The sequence below is a fragment of the Homo sapiens genome, chromosome 9 (assembly GCF_000001405.40).
Source record: "Homo sapiens chromosome 9, GRCh38.p14 Primary Assembly".
NCBI lineage: Eukaryota > Metazoa > Chordata > Mammalia > Primates > Hominidae > Homo > Homo sapiens.
The window spans coordinates 127,515,255-127,533,934 of NC_000009.12; the positions used below are offsets into that span (position 1 = coordinate 127,515,255).

Sequence of the window (18,680 nt, forward strand, 5' to 3'; positions counted from 1 at the left end):
TCACGCCTATAATCCCAGCATTTTGGGATGCCGAGGTGGGCGGATCATGAGGTCAGGAGATCGAGACCATCCTGGCTAACACGGTGAAACCTTGTCTGTACTAAAAAATACAAAAAATTAGGTAGGCATGGTGGCGGGCGCCTGTAGTCCCAGCTACTCAGGAGGCTGAGGCAGGAGAATGGTGTGAACCCGGGAGGTGGAGCTTGCAGTGAGCCGAGATCACGCCACTGCACTCCAGCCTGGGCGACAGAGCGAGACTCCGTCTCAAAAAAAAAAAAAAAAAAACAAACAAAAAAAACAGGCCAGGCACAGTGGCTCACACCTGTAATCCCAGCACTTTGGGAGGCCGAGGCAGGTGGATCACTTGAGGTTAAGAATTCAAGACCAGCCTGGCCAACATGGCAAAACCCTGTCTCTACTAAAAATACAAAAATTAGCTGGGCATGGTAGCAGGTGCCTGTAATCCCAGCTACTTGAGGGGCTGAGGCAGGAGAATTGCTTGAACCCGAGAGGCAAGGTTGCAGTGAGCCCAGATTGTGCCACTGCACTCCAGCCTGGGCAACAGATCAAGACTCCATCTCAAAATAATAATAATAATAATGGCTGGGCACAGTCGCTCACATCTGTAATCCTAGCACTTTGGGAAGCCAAGGTGGGTGGATTGCTTGAGCTCAGGCATTTGAGACCAGCCTGGGCAACATGGCAAAACCCTGTCTCTACAAAAAATACAAAAATGTGCTGGGCGTGGTGGCACATGCCTGTAGTCCCAGCTACTTGGGGGGTTGAAGTGGGAGGATGGTAGAGACTGCAGTGAGCCAAGGTCGTGCCATTGCACTGCAGCCTGGGCGACAGAGTGAAACCCTGTCTCAAATAAAATAAAATGAAATAAAATAAAATAAAAAGAACGTCCCATGGGCAACTGACAATTGCTAAAACTGAGCTCTGCAGATGTGTTATGGGGACCAAGCTGGTGAAAGGATCCCATCTGGCTGGGAAGAGAAAGGCGTACAGTCTGGGCACAGTGGCTCATGCCTGTAATCCCAGGACTTTGGGAGGCCAAGGTGAGCGGATCACGAGGTCAGGAGTTCAAGATCAGCCTGGCCAACATGGTGAAACCCCATCACTACTAAATACACAAAAGTTAGCCGGGCATGGTGGCGCGCGTGTGCCTGTAGTCCCAGCTACTCAGGAGGCTGAGGCAGGAGAATTGTTTGAATCCGGGAGGCGGAGGTTGTGGTGAGCTGAGATCGCACCACTACATTCCAGCCTGGGTGACAGAATAAACTGACCTGGGAAAGCTATACTTGCTGAACGTAAATGTACTTTAAAATGACACATGGTAAAAATCTGTGACGAGTCAGAGATGAAAAGAAGGCTTGAACCTCCAGAACAAAAATTTTTCTCTTCAAGTTCTGGGCTTATAGAAATAATAGCCACAAAACAACTCACAGGGGTTGGAGTACCACAGTGCAGATTTGGCTCTAATTCTTACAAATGATCAATGAGCAAGTCATTGCTGTGAAATTTACATGAATCATGAAATAAAAAGAAAGTCCACCTTGGCCCCTGGAGGGCCCGTCGAGCACGGGGGTGGCTGCCTACCTCGGATCTTGCTGGCAAGGTGCTCCTTGGAGGTGATAATTTGGTCCATGTCAGTTCGGATGACGGCCTGCATGGCCGGCTGCACCTGCTGCACCTTGGACAGCACCTCCTCGAAGCGCGCCTTGGCCTGCTCGTACACCATGTGGTACACGGCGTCCGAGATCTGTGGGCAGAGCAGCTGAATTGGCACCAGGGCTGAGGGCACCGCACCAGCTGCAGGTCCCGTCCCCGCTCCAGGGCCCCAGGCCCACCCACCTGGATCCACTGCCGCTGCCGCTCCTGCGGTTTCCCCTTCAGCCGCGGGCCGAGCTCTGCCTTCAGCTCAGGGCCCAGCTCCTCCATCACCAGGTTGCTCAGGATCTAGGTTGAGGAGGCACAAGCCAGGCCAGGGGCTGGAGAGCGCTCAGCTGGCCTGTTTCTCTCTGCATTCCCACAAGCCAGGCCGCTGCAGCCCCCACCTCCTCCGCGACTGGCCCATTGCTTCACCCTCCCTGCTGCCCTCTCTCCTGAGCTCCATTCCCACAGGTCCCAACTCATCTGCCTGGGTGTCCTGTAGGATCCTCAGACTCAAGGGCCAGCCCCAGGGCCTTTGCACAGGCTGCCTTCCCTACCTAGAATACCATACTCCCTCCCTGCTTTGCCTGCACATGGAAGTGTACATTTATTTGCCAAATGTCTGTTTCTCCTGCTATACGGAGAGCTCCCTGAGGGCCAGGAATTTGTCCACATCATTCCCAGCTGCACCCCAGTGCCTCGTCCAGGGTAGGTGCTCAGATGCCCAGTAAGTGATGAATAAGACAGCGAGTATCTCCACGTGCACTGGCCCTGCACTTGTCCAAATCTAAGCATGTCATCTCCTTCCAAACCGGCAGCGCCCCAGAGCCCCATCTCTGTACCCCACCCCCTGCCCTCCCCTGCTGGGTCCTTGGGTGACTTCTGAGGTTTCCTCACCAGCCCGTCTGGCCTCACCTGCACCTCGTTCCCACACAGCATCTCCCAGGTGCCGTACAGCTCCTTGGACTGTCGGTACATGCGGATGGCATCTGTGAACGCAGGGCCCTCTACCTTGGAGTCCTCAGGGATTCCTGCCCAGGAGACGGAGGGAGAGAGGAGGTCAGCAGATGGCCCAGTGGCCTCTACCAAGACCAACTGAGAACTGACCAAAACCCCCCCCACACACATGGCATGCACCTCAGGAGGGGCAGCTGGGACCCTCACTTTCCTCGTCATCAGAGCAGTCATGGTTGTATCTGATAGGCAAAAGCAGTAATGACCCCACCACCAACAGTGACAAGGCAGCCCCCTTGCCTCCTCCTTAGCTCCTGAAATCCTCCCAACCACCCCAAGACCTGGGCACTATCATTCACCTTATTGCTTTACAGATGATTACAGATGAAGAGACAACCGTTAGGGGACAGGCCACGGGCCCAGGGTCACAGAGCAGGGAGTGGCAGAGCCAGGACTAAAAGCTCCCGTCCCATAAGCAGCCACCCAGAATGGCCCTAGAGGCACCCAGAGACCCTTGTTCGAGCCCCAGTTCCTCCCTTACTGCTAGATCAGGGCCCTTCAAACTTTGCCTGGAACAGGCTAGGCAGCAGATATTCTCAGCCCGGCAGGCCATAAAACCCCTCCCGCAATGCTCGCCTCTACAGTCACAGCACAAAAACAGCCACGGACCATCCAGAAACAAATGAGCGTGCCTCTGCTCCAATAAACTTTGTTGACAGAAACAGGCAATTGGCTGATCTGGGCCCATAGGCCATAGGTTTCAGAGCCTGGTTCTAGATCACTGAACCCGAAATGGCCTGTTTCCTCTTCTGAACAATGGAACAATGGCCTCACAGGTCCACTGCGGGGCTCCCTGGGCCACAGTGTAGGGACAGGAGATCAGGGTCCAGCACTGCTCTGCGCCACACTTTTTATCAATAACTGAGGAGCCAGCTGCCTGCCCCACTGGGCCCGGGGTCTGTCCTGTTACTGCTAAGTCCAGGTCAGTACCTGGCACAGATGCTTGAATAACTTTGTTAAAGAATGAAGCTGGGTGTGGTGGCTCATGCCTGCAATCCCAGTACTTTGGGAGGCTGAGGTGGGGGAAATCACTTGAGGTCAGGAGTTCGAGACCAGTCTGGCTAACATGGCAAAACCCCATCTCTACTAAAAATACAAAAATTAGCTGGGCATGGTGGCAGGCACCTGTAATCCCAGCTACTAGGGAGACTGAGGCAGGAGAATCGCTTGAACCCAGGAGGCAGAGGTTGCAGTGAGCCGAGATTGCGCCACTGCACTCTAGCCTGGGCAACAGAGTAAGACTCTGTCTCAAAAAAAAAAAAAAAAAAAAAAAAAAGAATGGAAGAGTTTGCTATTAATAACAGCTAGAAGAACACCATTTCTGAATTTTTGTCACTGTTGGTGCTGTCAGTGGCCCAAACGCCAGCAAGGTAAACCCCTGAGTGAGGCGTGGACCTCCAGATTCAGTGCCCGGGAGGCAATTGGCAGGAAGTTACAAAATCTGACTTGGGGTAAGAAGGTGGTCAAACGCCACCGAGCCAGGCAGCAGGCAGACTCCCCTGGCCGCGTGCCTCTGACCACCGCATCCCCAAAGCCCAGGAAGGGGAAACGGAAGCCTGTGCATCAGAAACCTAAGGCTCCCACTGCCATGACTATGGGCTGAGTCACCACCGGCAGAGAAAAAGCCCCTCTCTGGGTCCCTCCTCTCCCCACACCCAGCTGACCACAGAAATCACTGCCTGTCGGAGCCGGGAGGGAGCTGAGCAGGGGGAGGCCCAGCCCTCATCCCTACAGCGCAGCTGCCTGGATGGGGACGGGGGCCTGTGGGAGTCTCACTCCTGCATTTCAGAGACCTGAAGTCAGGCAGGAGTGACAGGAGCAGGGCAGGGATGTTCCAGCTGGAGCAGCATGCAGAGCCCTGGGTGGGGGCTGCCCACCTGGGCCAGGGAAGGAGGTCCCCCCGCCACCCCACCCGCCTCTCAGAAGGGCATGGTTTCCTAGAAACCAAGTTTTGACTGGAAAATCTGGACAGTGCGTTACCTGCAGGCACTCCCACGGGGAGAGGGAATTTTCATCCTGCATGCACCAAGTCAGGTGTGCAGGGCAGGCCTGCTTTCCAGGTGGCGAGAAGGTGAGGCAGAGGGCCGGGACAGCGGGAGGGAGGCCAGCCAGCCTTGACCCTTGGGATTCTCTCTTTCTGCACACCCAGCCGCTGAGTGTGACAAGTTTCAGGGTCACCCCTCCTGAGCTCTTCCCGTGAGCCTAGCTGTTAGGGGCTGAAGTGTGTCTCCACACCCCCCAAATTCATATGCTGGAGTCCTAACCCCCAGTACCCCAGAACGTGATTATATTTGGACCCAGGGTCTTTTTTTTTTTTTTTTTTTTTTTTTTCTGAGAAGAGTCTTACTCTGTCGCCCAGGCTGGAGTTCAGTGGTGCAATCTTGGCTCACTGCAGCCTCCGCCTCCCAGGTTCAAGCCATTCTCCCGCTTCAGCTCCCAAGTAGCTGGGACTATAGGCACCCGCCACCATGTCCAGCTAATTTTTGTATTTTTAGTAGAGATGGGTTTTCACCATGTTGGCCAGGTTGGTCTCAAACTCTTGACCTCAAGAGATCCACCCACCTCAGCCTCCCAAAGCACTGGGATTACAGGCCTGAGCCACCGCACCCGCCCTTGGTCCTAGAGTCTTAAAGAATTAAGTTAAACAGAGGGGATGAGGATGGGACCAAATCCAATACAACTAGTGCCCTTAAAAGAATAGTACATTTTGGCCGGGCACAGTGACTCACGCCTGTAATCCCAGCACTTTGGGAGGCCGAGGCGGCAGAATCACGAGATCAGGAGATCAAGACCATTCTGGCTACAAAAAATTAGCCAGGTGTGGTGGCACACGCCTGTAGTCCCAGCTACTCGGGAGGCTGAGGCAGGAGAATCACTTGAACCTGGGAGGCGGAGGTTGCAGTGAGCCGAGATTGCGCCACTGCACTCCAGCCTGGGTGACAGAGCAAGCCTCTGTCTCAAAAAAGAAGAAAAAAGAAAAAGAAAAAAAGAAAAGTACATTTCTTCTTGAAAGAAGAGAAAACACAGGCACACAGAGGCATGACCCTGTGAGGACTCAGGGAGAAGGCGGCCGGCCACCAGCCAAGGAGAGAGGTCTCGGAGAAACCAGCCCTGCTGACACCTTGCCCTCGACTCAGACCTCCAGCTGGGAGAGAACATATTTCTGCTGTGTAGCTGCCCGGTCTGTGGTATTTGTTATGGCAGTCTTGGGAAACTGAGGCCCCAGCCCTGGCTGAGGCTGCACACACATCAGCTCGTTGAATCCTCAGCTCACTGTGCCCTACTTTTCCCAGGGAAAGAACTGAGGCTCAGAGAGGCAGTTACTGCTCGAGGCTACTCAGCTAGTGGATGGCAGAGCGGGGCTTGAACCCAGGACCAGCTGACTCTAGCCAGACCTGGAGACCTTCCAAGAAAGGAAACTGCATTCCTCACTCCCAGGCAGCAGACAGAGGGGGACCACGGTCAGACAGGAAGAAGCCTTGACCTCTGCACCCCAGGCCAACACTGAGGACCCGGCACAGCCAGTGCCCCAGCTGCCTCCTGCCACCCCCAGCTGCTCCAGGAATGCAGGATGTGAAGGGGTCCCTGGGACCGCTGGTGTCCGCCCAGTTGGCCTCCTTCCCCCCACCCCCCACTTCCTGGCAGCCCCCGGAGTGAGCAATTCCAGGCTTCACAAATTCCAAGCCCAGCCTCCAAGACGGAGGAAGCAGAGAACTTTCTCACAGTCCGCAGGGTGGAAGGAAGGCCTGAAACCAGCCTCGTCAGCTCCCGCCCTGGGGAGAAGGGGCCACCCGGCAGGACACCTTCCTGGCACAGGACACCCCTTCATTCCCTGGCCCAGCAGCTCTCCTGGGCCTCCCTCTGGTCCACTGCACCTTAGAACCAAGAACTCCCCCATGGCCTCCCCACTGAGTGCTCACTGTGCGTGCCAGGCCCACGGCCAAGTGCCCCACCCAGACCAGCTCTTCCCAATCATCTCTCAAGCTCAAGTTTATCATCATCCCCACTGCACACATGGGGGACTGAGGTGGCCCTTCCCCACCTTGTTCTGTGCCCACCCCTTCCCTATCTGGCGCAGGTCACCCACCCTGCCAGGCCAGGTCAGCCGTTAGCCTTGGAAACCTGGAGAGATGGCACCAGGCCAGGGGCTGGGGAGGCGGGAGGGCCCTGGGCCAGGCAGCCAGAGCCTTGAGTGCCTCCACCCAGTCCCAGCCCACAGTCCCCGGGACCTGGGAACAGGAGGCCCTTTGTGGGCAGCTGGGCCCAGGTGGCAGGGGCTGGCCTGATTGAAGACCTGGTTCCTCCTGCTTGGCAGATTCCAGACAGGGCAGAGGTGGCTCTGGAGAGGCGAGCAGGAGGGGTGGGGTGAGCTGAGTCCCACGGCAGCAGCCCAGAGGCCATTGGCGCCCACTCCGTCCCCTGCAACCTTCCACCTCTGCACCATGTGGCACTGCGCCCAAGGGTGGGGCGGGGGCAGGAGCTTCCCTCAGGCCAGATCACCTGGAAGCAGTTCAGTGTCCAGGACTGGGTTGTTCCTTCCCTAGGGGCAGAAAGACCCCCAGGGACCCACCCTCACCTTGGAAGACCATCCTCAGCCTTTCTGTTCAAATTCCTTAGAGGCCTTCAAGGCTTTTCCAGACCTGACCCCAGAGGCCCCCCTCCAGCCCCATTTCAGGTCACCCCCTCCCTGCTTCAGGGCCTCGTGCAGTTCCTCCTCCGGGCCTACCCCTACCACCTGTGGGTCTCCCTTCATGCTGACTGCCTACCTCTGCCTGGAACACTCCTCCCCTCTCCTCTATGCAGGATATGAGGGGCCCTGGGACTTCTGGCATCTCCTCCTTCAGGTCTGGGACTTCTCCTTCAGGTCTCTGCTGAAGCTGAACCATAACCTCCTCAAGGGAGCCTGCCCTGATCGACCCCTCCCCCAACACACACACACCCTCAGGCTCCCAGGTTGGCTCCACCCAGCACCCAGCACAGCTGTGAGCCATCGTGCTGGCATCCTCATCTGTCTATCATCTGTCTCCCCTACCAGACTGCCAATTGTAGGAGGGCAGGGAATGTTTCTTGCTCCCTTGTTGCACACCCAGTGCCTAAATCTGGGCCTCCTCAGAGTAGACACTAAAAATGTTTGTTGAATAAATGAGTGAGCTGGAAGAGTCACCCCATAAGTTTACAGATGAGAGCAATGAGGCCCTGAGGGAGGCAGTGAAGTTTCCAAATCACCCTGCAGGTTGGTGGTTTTAAAAAAAAAAAAAAAAAAAAAAAATATATATATATATATATATATATATATATATATATATATATATATATATATATATATATAAAATTAAAAAAAAAATCTTTACCAAGCATGAGGTAGACTCTAAATCCTCATAACCCCCCTAAGACACACAAGGCATTATCCCCACTTTACAGAGCCTCCAAGAGGTAAGTCAGTTCCCTAAGGTCACGTAGCTGGAAAATGGCAGAATCAGGATTGTGACTTTGTGACTCAGGGTCCAAGGGCTCAACAACCACACCCCTCTGTGAATAATTTCCTACTTTTTTCCTGAGCAGCACAAAACTGTTTTCATCAAGAAAGAAGACTAAGGGTGGTATTACATGGTTTCTTATAACCCCAGAAGGGAAATTAGAACAGCCTGTAGAGCAGGGTTGCCACACCATAGTCAGCCACTAGGTGTCACCATTCAGCAATAACCCAGGTCCTGCCCCTCCCTCCCACCGACCCTGCACCCACAGGCCACTCACCATTGTTGCAGTGCCGGATGCAGTCCTGCAGCACAGCCTGCCACTTGTCCTGCTCGGCTTCTGTCATCATGCAGAAGTAGTAGTGACGCGCATAAGGATGCCAGAGGATGAGCGGGAACTGTGTGGGGCACTTGAGGATGGGGGCACTGCCCGACTTTGCCGTGGTCCCTGTGGAGACAGTGCCTGATGAGCAGCTGCCCTCTGTGGTTGCCCTCCACCAGAGGATGTCAGAGAACTGATCCCTTGGCATCAGCTCTGAGGTCAGGCTCAGGCCCAGAGAAGGCCAGCCTGTCCCAAGGTGACCAGCAAGCCGGCGGGGGTGGGAGCAGCCTTCTTTCTGGCTGTGTTCTCCTCAGCCCAAAACCTGAGTCCAGCATCCGTGCAGACCCATTTCTTAGAGTGGGTAATAAGTCACATCCACCCCACTCTTGGGTTAGGTTTTAAACTCTGTAAAGCACAAACAACACAAGGTCAGAGCCCCCAGGTTCAAGGGTCAAGCACTACCTTCTTGGGTTTCCCTTCAGATTTCGGCTGTGGAGGCCAAAGTGTGGCTTAAGTGTCCACAGGGGGAGGGAGGCATGTGGGGAGGGACAAAATACAGCAAAAGGAATTTTTCCCTCCTTCAATTTCATTCTCAAGGATATGTAAGATCCAGCGAGATAACTGGTCCTGGGCTGTGACCCTGCCACTGTTGTTAATGATATGACAATAACAGTTCTTCTTTCTGCCCTGGCTCTGGGTTGGCCTGTGCCCCTCCAGGGTCCACACAACACCCCGAGGGCAGTCCTCTTAGTGCCTGTGCTTTGTAGACACTGAAGAGGCTGAGATTCAGGGGAGGGGGGGTGACTCGCCCAAGCAGACACAGTGAAACAAAGCCAGAGTCACGCTGGAATCCAGGAATGCTGCTGGAATCCAGGAATGCCGCTCGAATCCAGGAATGCCCAGGCCCTCCATCACCACAGAATGAAGGCATGACTCTACTCTCAAGTCCCTGGGGCATGACCTGCCCCCCAGGCAGGCATGTCCCCTGCCCTCTAGTTCCCAGGGATCATCAGAGAGGCCAATGTTGTTCCCGTAAGGCTTCTAGGGAATTTCAGCCAAGGTGAAGCAAAAGCAGGATGCCAAGAAGAGTAACTCCTGACGAACACAGTGCTGACCCACAGGTTTACGAGGGAAGGTCACTGAACATCTTCCAGGAGGCTCTCAAGGACTTAGGGAGATGCGAAAGGCAAACAATGAGGTCTCCATCCACAGCTCTAAGCCTAGTTGGTCTCTCCGCAAACATGGGGCTGAAAGCAATGGGCTCAGGGCCACCCCTCCCCTGGCCAGCTCCAGATGCCTGTGCAGGGCATTGTGGCCTGGGATGGGTGCTCCTTTACCTGGTAAGGAGTTGCCAATGAGCTCCAGGTATTGGTCCACGGACGTGAGGATTTTGTAGCCTGCACTGTTGATGACGGCTCGTGGTGGGACCTGCCGCTCATAGGCCTGAGGGAGGCAAGAGAGAGGGTCCCTGAGGGTTAAGGTGCGGCCAAGCCCAAATCCCACCTGGCTTCAAGGCCCTACTCAGTGTGGCCCAAAGTGGGGAGGAGAAGGGAAAGGAAGAAGAGGCAAGAGAGGAACAGAGGGGAGAATGTCACTATCATGGTGATTGGGGCAGTGTGGCATCCACAGCAACCTAGACCCCAGCTCTGGGCTCAATTCCTGGCTTCACTGGGTAGTGTCTGTGTGATGCTGAGGATAAAATTCCTTAAATGCCTAAACTTCAGCTTCTTCATCTATAAAACCAGGGAATCAAGAATATTCAGGATGGGGAAAACATTTTAAAATAAAAACAAAACCAGGGTAATAACCATTCCTGCCTCACAGAGCCATGTGAGGACTGAGTGAGATAATCTGCAGTGCCTGGCACACCACAAGGACTCAGCGAGCTTGGCCGAGGTTGTTGTTCTGTTTCTACTGCTGCTATTGCCTCTGTTCCCAGCAGCTCCACTAGTTAAGCATTTCTTACATACCAGGCCCTGTGCTAAGGGCATTGCATGCTTAATTTCACAGAATTTTCCCAATTCAAAAGGTGGATCACCCCCAACTTCACACAGTTGGGAAGTAGCAGATGTAGGACATGAACCAGGGCTATCTATCTCCAGAGCCTGGGGTATTTGACCATTACCCTGAACTGCCCCCACCAATTTCCTAGGTTCTGAGCATCACACAAGCGTCCTCTGGAGAATTAGGTCTAGAAACTTACACCAGTAGCAGGGGGCAAAGCAGTTCTGATGGAATAGCTCATACAGCAGGGCTACCATGCTACTCCCTGCCACTAGGTGTCACTATACAACACAGTTCCTGAAAGTAGCTCAGAACCTGTAGGGCACTGATTTGCAAAACATGGTCTCTGATCTTCAACACCACCCGAGAACTTACTAGAAATGCAAATCTTTACAGTCCGGGTGCAGTGGCTCACGCCTGTAATCGCAGCACTTTGGGAGGCCGAGGTGGGCAGATCATGAGGTCAGGAGATCAAGACCATCCGGGCCAACATGGTGAAAACCAGTCTCTACTAAAAATACAAAAATTAGCTGGGAATGGTGGTGCACGCCTGTAGTCCCAGCTACTCCTGAGGCTGAGGCAGGAGAATCACTTGAGCCAGGGAGGTGGAGGTTGCAGTGAGCTGAGATGGCGCCACTGCACTCCAGCCTGGCGACAGAGCTAGACTTCATCTCAAAAAAAAAAAAAAAAAGAAAAAAAAAAGAGATGCAAATCTTGGCTCCCAACCTGAATCAAACTCTGGGGGAAAGCCCAGCACCGTGTCTTTCAGCAAGCCCTTCAGGTGATTTGGACGTGCTACCAGTTGAGAACCACTACTCTGGGGCACGAGGTTGCTCTTGACTTTATGTTGCTCTAACATTGATCTTCCGTGAAATACAGGGCCCAGGCCTGTCCTTCTGGCTGCTCTGGAGAAATGAGCAATTGAAGAAATCAGGTCTGTGGCTCAACCAGGTGGGGCTTCCCTGAGGGCTCAGGGAAAAGATAAGGCACAATGCTCCCATAGGATGTCCTTCTCGGACACCTACCCACCTGTAGGGCAGGGGCAAGCCACCGCAAGGAATGGCCAGATTGTGCCTCCAACAGCTCTCTGTGGCTGTCGAGGGTGGGAGGGGTCGGAGGAGAGGCAGGAAGCCCAGTGAGGAAGGAGGTGGCAGGAGGAACGCCCTGGAGCCAGCTGGAGGGACTGAAGAGAGATTAGGAGGGATGGGGAGGAGTGAGTGACAGTTGGTTTATGAGGGACAGAAGGAGTCAGCGATATTCCCCAGAGATGAAGAATGAGCTGCCGTCCAGAGAGGGCACCCAGGGCAGCCCAGTTTGGGGGAGGGGAGGGGCTGAGGTGGTGCTCTGGCCCTGGTGACCGCGTGCAGGCTGTGACGGTGGCGTCTGGGGCCTAAGTTTCCGAGTTGGGGGAGGGGGCACACATGGAGAAAGCGGGGAGGCTCAGTGTGGCGCCCGGGGCCAGGCCTCACCGCTTTGTTTTCGTAGAGCACCAGCCCGTAGTTGTGGGGCACGAGGCTGAAGCGGTTTCTCCACTTCTTGCTGTCCTCCTGGTGCTGGAAGAGGTTCCCCGAGAAGACGATGCGCTCGTCCAGTGGCACCTGTGGGCAGGAGCGGGTGGGGAGTGAGGCCCAGGTCTGGGGGGGTGGTGCTCCCCATGAAGCTGATGGCCCAGCCAGCAGAGCCTGTGTGCGCACCCCCTGCCTAGCATGTCCTCCATTTTGGGTCTCCCCAAGTCCTCCCAAGGCCTCTGAGGCCGGGCTGCATCTCATCCATTCTGCAGAGGAGGAGCGAGACTCGGAGCCGTGGAGGGGCTCACCCAGCATCCAGGCAGGGTGGTGATGCCAGGACTTGAACCCAGGACAGGCACTGATGTAGGGCCTGGCCACAGCCAGGCTCTCCCTCTCCATCCCAGCCTTGGGCTGTCACCGCTACCTTGGAAGGGTCTGGGGAGATGGTTGCTCCCCACCCACCTACAGCTACAGCACTGGTGCCCCGAGGTCGCTCCGGGCACGGGGGACACACCCACAGGCCAGAACTGCGAGGGCCCCAGTGCCTGGGCAAGCCTCTCCCCAGCTCTAGGCTTCTGTTTCCCCTCAGGGCAATGATAACTTGAACAAGGTGGCTCCAGAGAGCCTGTCAGCTCTGATGGCTGATGAGACGCCTTCCTAAAAAGGAGTAGGGGGAATGGAGGGGGCCTCTGTCTGGGGGTGTTTGATGTCTGACCCGCGTCCTGGCAGGCTAGTGACCTACATGGGCTGCAGAAACGCCCGGACCTTCCTACAAAGCCCTAGCTCTGCCTGACTCACAGTGTGTCTAGTCACTTTGAGCATCAGTTTCCTCATCTGTAAAATGGGAACAGTAAGAGTTGGCACCTGACAGGCAGGTGCATAATGCACAGGACCGCCATGACCACTACGGTAGGACTCAGCGTCTGTGACGACCTCCAATCCTCAGGGACTGACTTATCTGGGGATGGGGAAGGAGAAGGGAGATCTTTAAACTAGGGTTGGGGGCCCAAGCGAAGCTATGGCCAGGTGCAAGGCGTCCTGAGCAGACAAGCACCAGAAAGCTTCTGGAAGGAGATAGACCACAGTGGAAGAGGCTTCGTCTTGGATGGGAGGGAACCCAGGAGAGTACAGTGTTCCTCTGCAAATTCTATTTGTTCTACAATAAATAAGGTGCCTTTTGCAAAAAGAAACATTTCTCAGATGCACTCATGGAGAAAGGGTGATTGCCATCATGCCTGCACCTTCCTGGCTTCCTGGCTCTGCGCTGGCCCATCCCTGCAGTCCCGTCTCTCCACCCCCTTCACCATGTCCCCCTCTCCCCAGCTCCCTCCCTGCTGCTCTTCAAGGGGAAACACAAAACACTCCTGGAGAAGGAGAGCCCATTGTGCTCACACAATAGGACCTGCAGGCTTCTTCCTACCGGGTATAAAAATATTTACAGGAAAAGAAAATGGTTCCCCTACCACCCCCACACACAGTGGGCTTTGCCCAAGTCACAGAGCTGCCCTCAGCCGTCTATGTATAAACTGCCCACACCCAGCTCAAATCCCTGTCTTTTCTAGAAAGAGCAGACAGAGCTCTCATAACACCCTAGCAAAAGGCCCCTAGTTTTCATCTTCATCCCTGCTTAGGGCAGGAGCCCCGGGACACAAGGACGGGCACTCCGGGACAGGGCCAGTCCCAGCCCAGCAGGAGGCTGTGCAGAAGCAGGCTTGTGGCCCAGGCAGGCTCAACAACCCCCACCACCCAGTCCGCCCCCAGATCCTGGGGAGCTCGAATGGGTGGCTGGCTGTGGGTTTGGGTTTTATTTTTAAGACTTTCAAATGGCAGAGTCGTGTTCAATTGGAAGGCCTGCAGGAAATGAAACAGAACTCGACAGCCCAGGCAAAATATTTTAGACTCTGCGAAGCTCTCCAATGCCTCGGTCAGAGACAGCACAGGCCCCAAGGTCAGATAACTGGAACTCCTGTGTCGGCACCACCGACTGCCAGATCCTGGACAAGTAGCTCCACATCTCTGAGCCTCAATGTCTACATCTGTGATGCAGGCATCATCATAGCCCCTCCCTCAGAGTGGGGCCACGGGGCTGAGCAAACAGTACCGGCATAAGATAACTGCTGTTTTAGCCGGGCGCTGTGGCTCACGCCCGTAATCCCAGCACTTTGGGAGGCCGAGGCAGGTGGATCACCTAAGGTCAGGAGTTCGAGACCAGCCTGGCCAACATGGTGAAACCCTGTCTCTACTAAAAATATAAAAAATTAGCGGGGTGTGGTGGTGGATGCCTGTGATCCCAGCTACTGGGGAAGCTGAGGTATGAGAATCGCTTGAACCAGGGAGGTGGAGGTTGCAGTGAGCCGAGACTGTGCCACTGCACTCCAGCCTGGGCAACAGAGTGAGACTCTGAAAAAGCAAAAACAAACAAAAAGACAACTGCTGTTTTATTATTCTTATTTCTGTTGTATTATTACGTTATCATTATTATCACTATTTTTATTTGTATTCTATTATTGTTTCTAATAAAAACCACTATTGTTTTGATCACCACTGGTGATTAATATTATTTCCAGTATTATGATGTTATCATAACTTTGCATTGTGATGATCGGTTTCCTGAGTGGCCAAAATGAGACCAAAAATACTGCTTTTCAGGGACTGTGGGTGAGTGATCTCATTTCACTCTCCTTGCTTACATGTTGCTATTTTTCTACAAATAAATATGCACTCCTGCCTCCCCAGACTTAAATGAGGCCTCACGCAGAGGAAATGCTTCACGCCCTCAGCCAGTGCCCACTTGTCTTGGATTATAGGGACTTGGGCTGCCCATGACATTTCTTTCCAGACAGGGGAGCCATTCTGGCCCCGCTCACCTGGGCTGCGTCCAAGGCCTCCTTTTCTTTCCTTTCCTACCACACAGATACGCACCTGCCAGACACCCAGGCCGGGCCACAGCAGGCCCCTCTGACGCTCTGCTGCCACAGGGTCAAGAGGTTACCATGACACTGGGGAAGAGGCAACCTTTTCTGGGTCAAAAAGCAAAGGTGATGCTCTGAGCAGCTCCGACACACGGTCCTGACCTCCCTCCACCGGGCGGGTTGCAGTCACAGCAGAAAGGGCCCTGGGCTGGTCCAGCCTCCGCCATCCTGAATGAGCCACTTAAAGGCTCAGCCTTGGCCAGGTGCGGCAGCTGAGGCCTGTAATCCCAGCACTTTGGGAGGCCAAGGTGGGAGGATCTCTTGAGTCCCGCCCCCGGCCCCGTGTCCGAGTCAATCACAGGTTCCTCTTCCCAGAAGGCTTTGCCAGCCCCCTCTGGCCCACGCTGACCCTCAGGCTGGAGCCAGGCAGCTTCTAATCTCTCACTCAACAAATATGTCCTTAGCAAACAGCATCCTACTATTTATATCATAGCAGATCATGATGGAGCCAGTGACAGTGCCTTCCCTGCTTCAGGCACAACCACCCTGTGAAGGAGGTGTTCTCATCCCATTTGACAGATGAGTAAACTGAGGCTCTTACTGGAGGAGCTTGCCTTGAATTGGAGACTATCCAGACTCTAGAGCCCCAGCTCTGATGGTGGAGGAGGTGAGCTAGGAGGAGTCACCCACGGTGACTGAAGGGGTCTCAACAACACGACCTGGGTTACCCACCTATTCAGAAGTGGGAAGGAGGCTAGGCATGGTGGCTCACGCCTGTAATCCCAGCACTTTTGGGGAGCTGAGGCTGGAGGATCACTTGAGCCCAGGAGTTTGAGACCAGCCTGGGCAACACAGCAAAACCCCATCTCTACAAAAAATGCAAAAATTAGCCTAGAGTGATGGTGTGCACCTGTAGTCCCAGTAACTGGGGAGACTGAGGTGGAAGGATCACTTGAGCCAGGAAGGTTGAGGCTGCAGTGAGGCATGATTGCGCCACTGCACTCCAGCCTGGGCAACAGCAAGACCCAGTCTGAAAAAAAAAAAATTGAATAAGCCGCACATAGTGGCTCACACCTGCCTGTAATCCCAGCATTTTGGGAGGCTAAGGCAGTCAGATGGCTTGAGGTCAGGAGTTTGAGACCAGCCTGGCCAACATGGTAAAACCCCATCTCTACTAAAAATACAAAAACTTAGCCGGGCATGGTGGTGCACGCCTGTGGTCCCAGCTACTCGGGAGGCTGAGTCAGGAGAGTGCCTTGAACCTGGGAGGCGGAGGTTGCAGTGAGCTGAGATTGTGCCACTGCACTCCAGCCTGAGTGACAGAGCGAGACTCTGTCTCAAAAAAGAAAAAAATAATTAATTTTAAAAAAAGAAGCTGGGGAGACCCTTAGAGGCCATCACAGTAACAATGGGAAACTGAGGCCCAGAAAAGTAAGGTCACTCCCCCGAGGCCACATGGCGAGAAGTAGCAGAACATACCCGAGCCCTCCCAGCACCTCTCACCTTGCGCCAGAGCAGCTGGGCCTGCGGCAGCCCCGTGCCCTCAATCTCATGGCGCATGCTGTTGAAGAGAGCCACGCCATACTGGTCTTCATAGAACTGGAGGAACTCCGTCAGGATCTTCCCGGTTTTTTCTGGAAGAGAAGGACAAGCAGGAGCTTGAGGTCCTCAGGGATGCTGATGCATCACGATCCTTCCCCTAGGCAGGAGTGGCTGCAAAGCCCCAAATTCCTGCATGTGGAATTGTTTGCACAGGCTCCTCGCGCTCATCTGCGCTGCATTTCTGGCCAGAGCCCCGCGTTTCCTGTGAAAACCAACTGCCTTGGAAAAGGTGAACCTCCAGATGGGAAAGCGGGTAATGGCCATAGACAGAGAATCAAACAAATGCAAACAGAACCAAGACTCCATTTCCTGTCGTCACACTGGTGGGGACATGCAAAAACAGGCCATGTCACTCAGAGCTGGGGGCGCCAGGAATGGGGACAGCCATTTCGGAGGGTGGGTGTCCTGTCCTTGGATGCTCCCACCTCTAGGAATCTACCCCCATAGAACGATTCGCAGGACACAAAGGCGAATGTGCACTGAGGCCATAGCGGGGAGCAGCTGAATGTGATCTCTAGGGATGATCGGTATACATTGGTTCATTCACCCAGGTCAGTAAAAAGTAAAAAGATGGAGGGGGGCCAGGCATGGTGGCTCCCAGAACTTTTCAAGGCCAAGGTAGGTGGATCACCTGAGGTCAGGAGTTCAAGCCCAATGTGGCCAACATGGCGAAATCCTGTCTCTACTAAAAATACAAAAATCAGCAGGGCATGGTGGCAGGCGCCTGTAAGGCCAGCTACTCAGGAGACTGAGGCAGGAGAATCACTTGAACCTGGAAGTTTGGTGGAAGGCGGAGGTTTCAGTGAGTCGAGATTGCACCACTGCACTCCAGCCTGGGCGACAGAGCGAGACTCCATATAATAAAAAAATTTAAAAAAATGGAGGGACCTATCCGGATAGGTGCCAACAAACGGAAAGGGCTCATGCTCCATTAAGGAAAGAAAGCAAGTGACAGAGTCACCTGTTGACTATCAGCTCATTTAAAAAAAAAAAAATCGCTTTCTGGCCAGGTGCAGTGGCTCACACCTATAATCCCAGCACTTTGGGAGACTAAGGCAGGTGGATCGCTTGAGCCCAGGAGTTTGAGACCAGCCTGAGCAACACAGCAAGACCTCATCCCTACAAAAAAATACAAAAGTCTGGCCAGGTGCGGTGGTTCACAGCACTTTGGGAGGACAAGGTAGACAGATCACCTGAGGTCAGGAGTTCGAGACCAGCCTGGCCAACATGGCAAAACCCCATCTCTACTAAAAATAGAAAAATTAGCCAGGCATGGTGGCGGGTACCTGTAATCCCGGCTACTCAGGAGGCTGAGACAGGAGAATCACTTGAACCCAGGAGGCAGAGGTTGCAATGAACCAAGATCGTACCACTACACCCCATCCTGGGTGACAGAGCAAGACTCTATCTTAAAAAAACAAAACAAAAGGCTGGGCACGGTGGCTTAGGCCTGTAATCCCAGCACTTTGGGAGGCCGAGGTGGGCAGATCACAAGGTCAGGAGATAGAGACCACCCTGGCTAACACGGTGAAACCCTGTATCTACTAAAAAATAGAAAAAATTAGCCAGGCATGGTGGCGGGCGCCTGTAGTCCCAGCTACTCGGGAGGCTGAGGCAGGAGAATGGCATGAACCCGGGAGGCGGAGCTTGCAGTGAGCCGAGATCGTGCCACTGCACTCCAGCCTGGGCGACAGAGCGAGACTCCATCTCAAAAAACAAAACAAAACAAAACAAAAATTAGCCAGGTGTGGTGGCGTGTGCCTGTATTCCCAGCTATTCAGGAGGCTGAGGTGGGAGGGTCACTTAAGCCCAGGGAGGTCGAGGCTGCAGCGAGCTATGATCGTGCAACTGCACTCCAGCCTGGGCGACAGAGCGAGACCCTGTCTCAACACACACATAACAAAACCAAAACTCCTCCTATTTGTGCATATAGCTTACTTAGGCTTGGGTGCGTGGAGGAGGTCTGGAAGGCAGCATGCCAGGCTAGGAAGGCAGGACCTCTGGTGTGGGAGTGGGGAGTACAGAGTGAACTTCATTTTTGGTTTATTTCCTTTTATAGCATTTGAATTATTTTATAATCATGATTCCTTTCATAATAAAAAATAAACATTCTAAAATTAATGCCTCTACCAAGTGAACAACCTTTCTGCTTTCACTGGCCATTTGCTTCTGTCTTCTGCGCGGTTTC

General features: G+C 54.0%; 1 protein-coding gene across 4 annotated transcripts in view, besides 4 other annotated features; it reads right to left on the reverse strand.

Annotated features, from left to right (window-relative positions):
- Positions 1-18,680, reverse strand: part of NIBAN2 (niban apoptosis regulator 2) — a 73,689-nt gene that overhangs the window by 9,912 nt on the left and 45,097 nt on the right. For all 4 annotated transcript variants that reach the window (NM_001035534.3, NM_022833.4, XM_011518925.2 and 1 more), the window contains 7 exons: positions 16,394-16,524; positions 11,940-12,068; positions 9,804-9,909; positions 8,425-8,592; positions 2,572-2,687; positions 1,858-1,962; positions 1,603-1,765 (listed from right to left, as the gene is read on the reverse strand). In NM_001035534.3, coding sequence (NP_001030611.1) covers positions 1,603-1,765; positions 1,858-1,962; positions 2,572-2,687; positions 8,425-8,592; positions 9,804-9,909; positions 11,940-12,068; positions 16,394-16,524 — 918 coding nt within the window. The remainder of the gene's footprint in view (positions 1-1,602; positions 1,766-1,857; positions 1,963-2,571; positions 2,688-8,424; positions 8,593-9,803; positions 9,910-11,939; positions 12,069-16,393; positions 16,525-18,680) is intronic.
- Positions 8,134-8,635: an enhancer, noted in NCBI's record as "H3K4me1 hESC enhancer chr9:130285667-130286168 (GRCh37/hg19 assembly coordinates)". NCBI's record gives its function as "activates a minimal SCP1, AML or CMV promoter by ChIP-STARR-seq in naive H9 embryonic stem cells {active_cell/tissue: H9 hESC(naive)}" and the evidence as "EXISTENCE:reporter gene assay evidence [ECO:0000049][PMID:30033119]".
- Positions 8,636-9,135: an enhancer, noted in NCBI's record as "H3K4me1 hESC enhancer chr9:130286169-130286668 (GRCh37/hg19 assembly coordinates)". NCBI's record gives its function as "activates a minimal SCP1, AML or CMV promoter by ChIP-STARR-seq in naive H9 embryonic stem cells {active_cell/tissue: H9 hESC(naive)}" and the evidence as "EXISTENCE:reporter gene assay evidence [ECO:0000049][PMID:30033119]".
- Positions 9,776-10,328: an enhancer, noted in NCBI's record as "H3K27ac-H3K4me1 hESC enhancer chr9:130287309-130287861 (GRCh37/hg19 assembly coordinates)". NCBI's record gives its function as "activates a minimal SCP1, AML or CMV promoter by ChIP-STARR-seq in naive H9 embryonic stem cells {active_cell/tissue: H9 hESC(naive)}" and the evidence as "EXISTENCE:reporter gene assay evidence [ECO:0000049][PMID:30033119]".
- Positions 16,101-16,661: an enhancer, noted in NCBI's record as "H3K27ac-H3K4me1 hESC enhancer chr9:130293634-130294194 (GRCh37/hg19 assembly coordinates)". NCBI's record gives its function as "activates a minimal SCP1, AML or CMV promoter by ChIP-STARR-seq in naive H9 embryonic stem cells {active_cell/tissue: H9 hESC(naive)}" and the evidence as "EXISTENCE:reporter gene assay evidence [ECO:0000049][PMID:30033119]".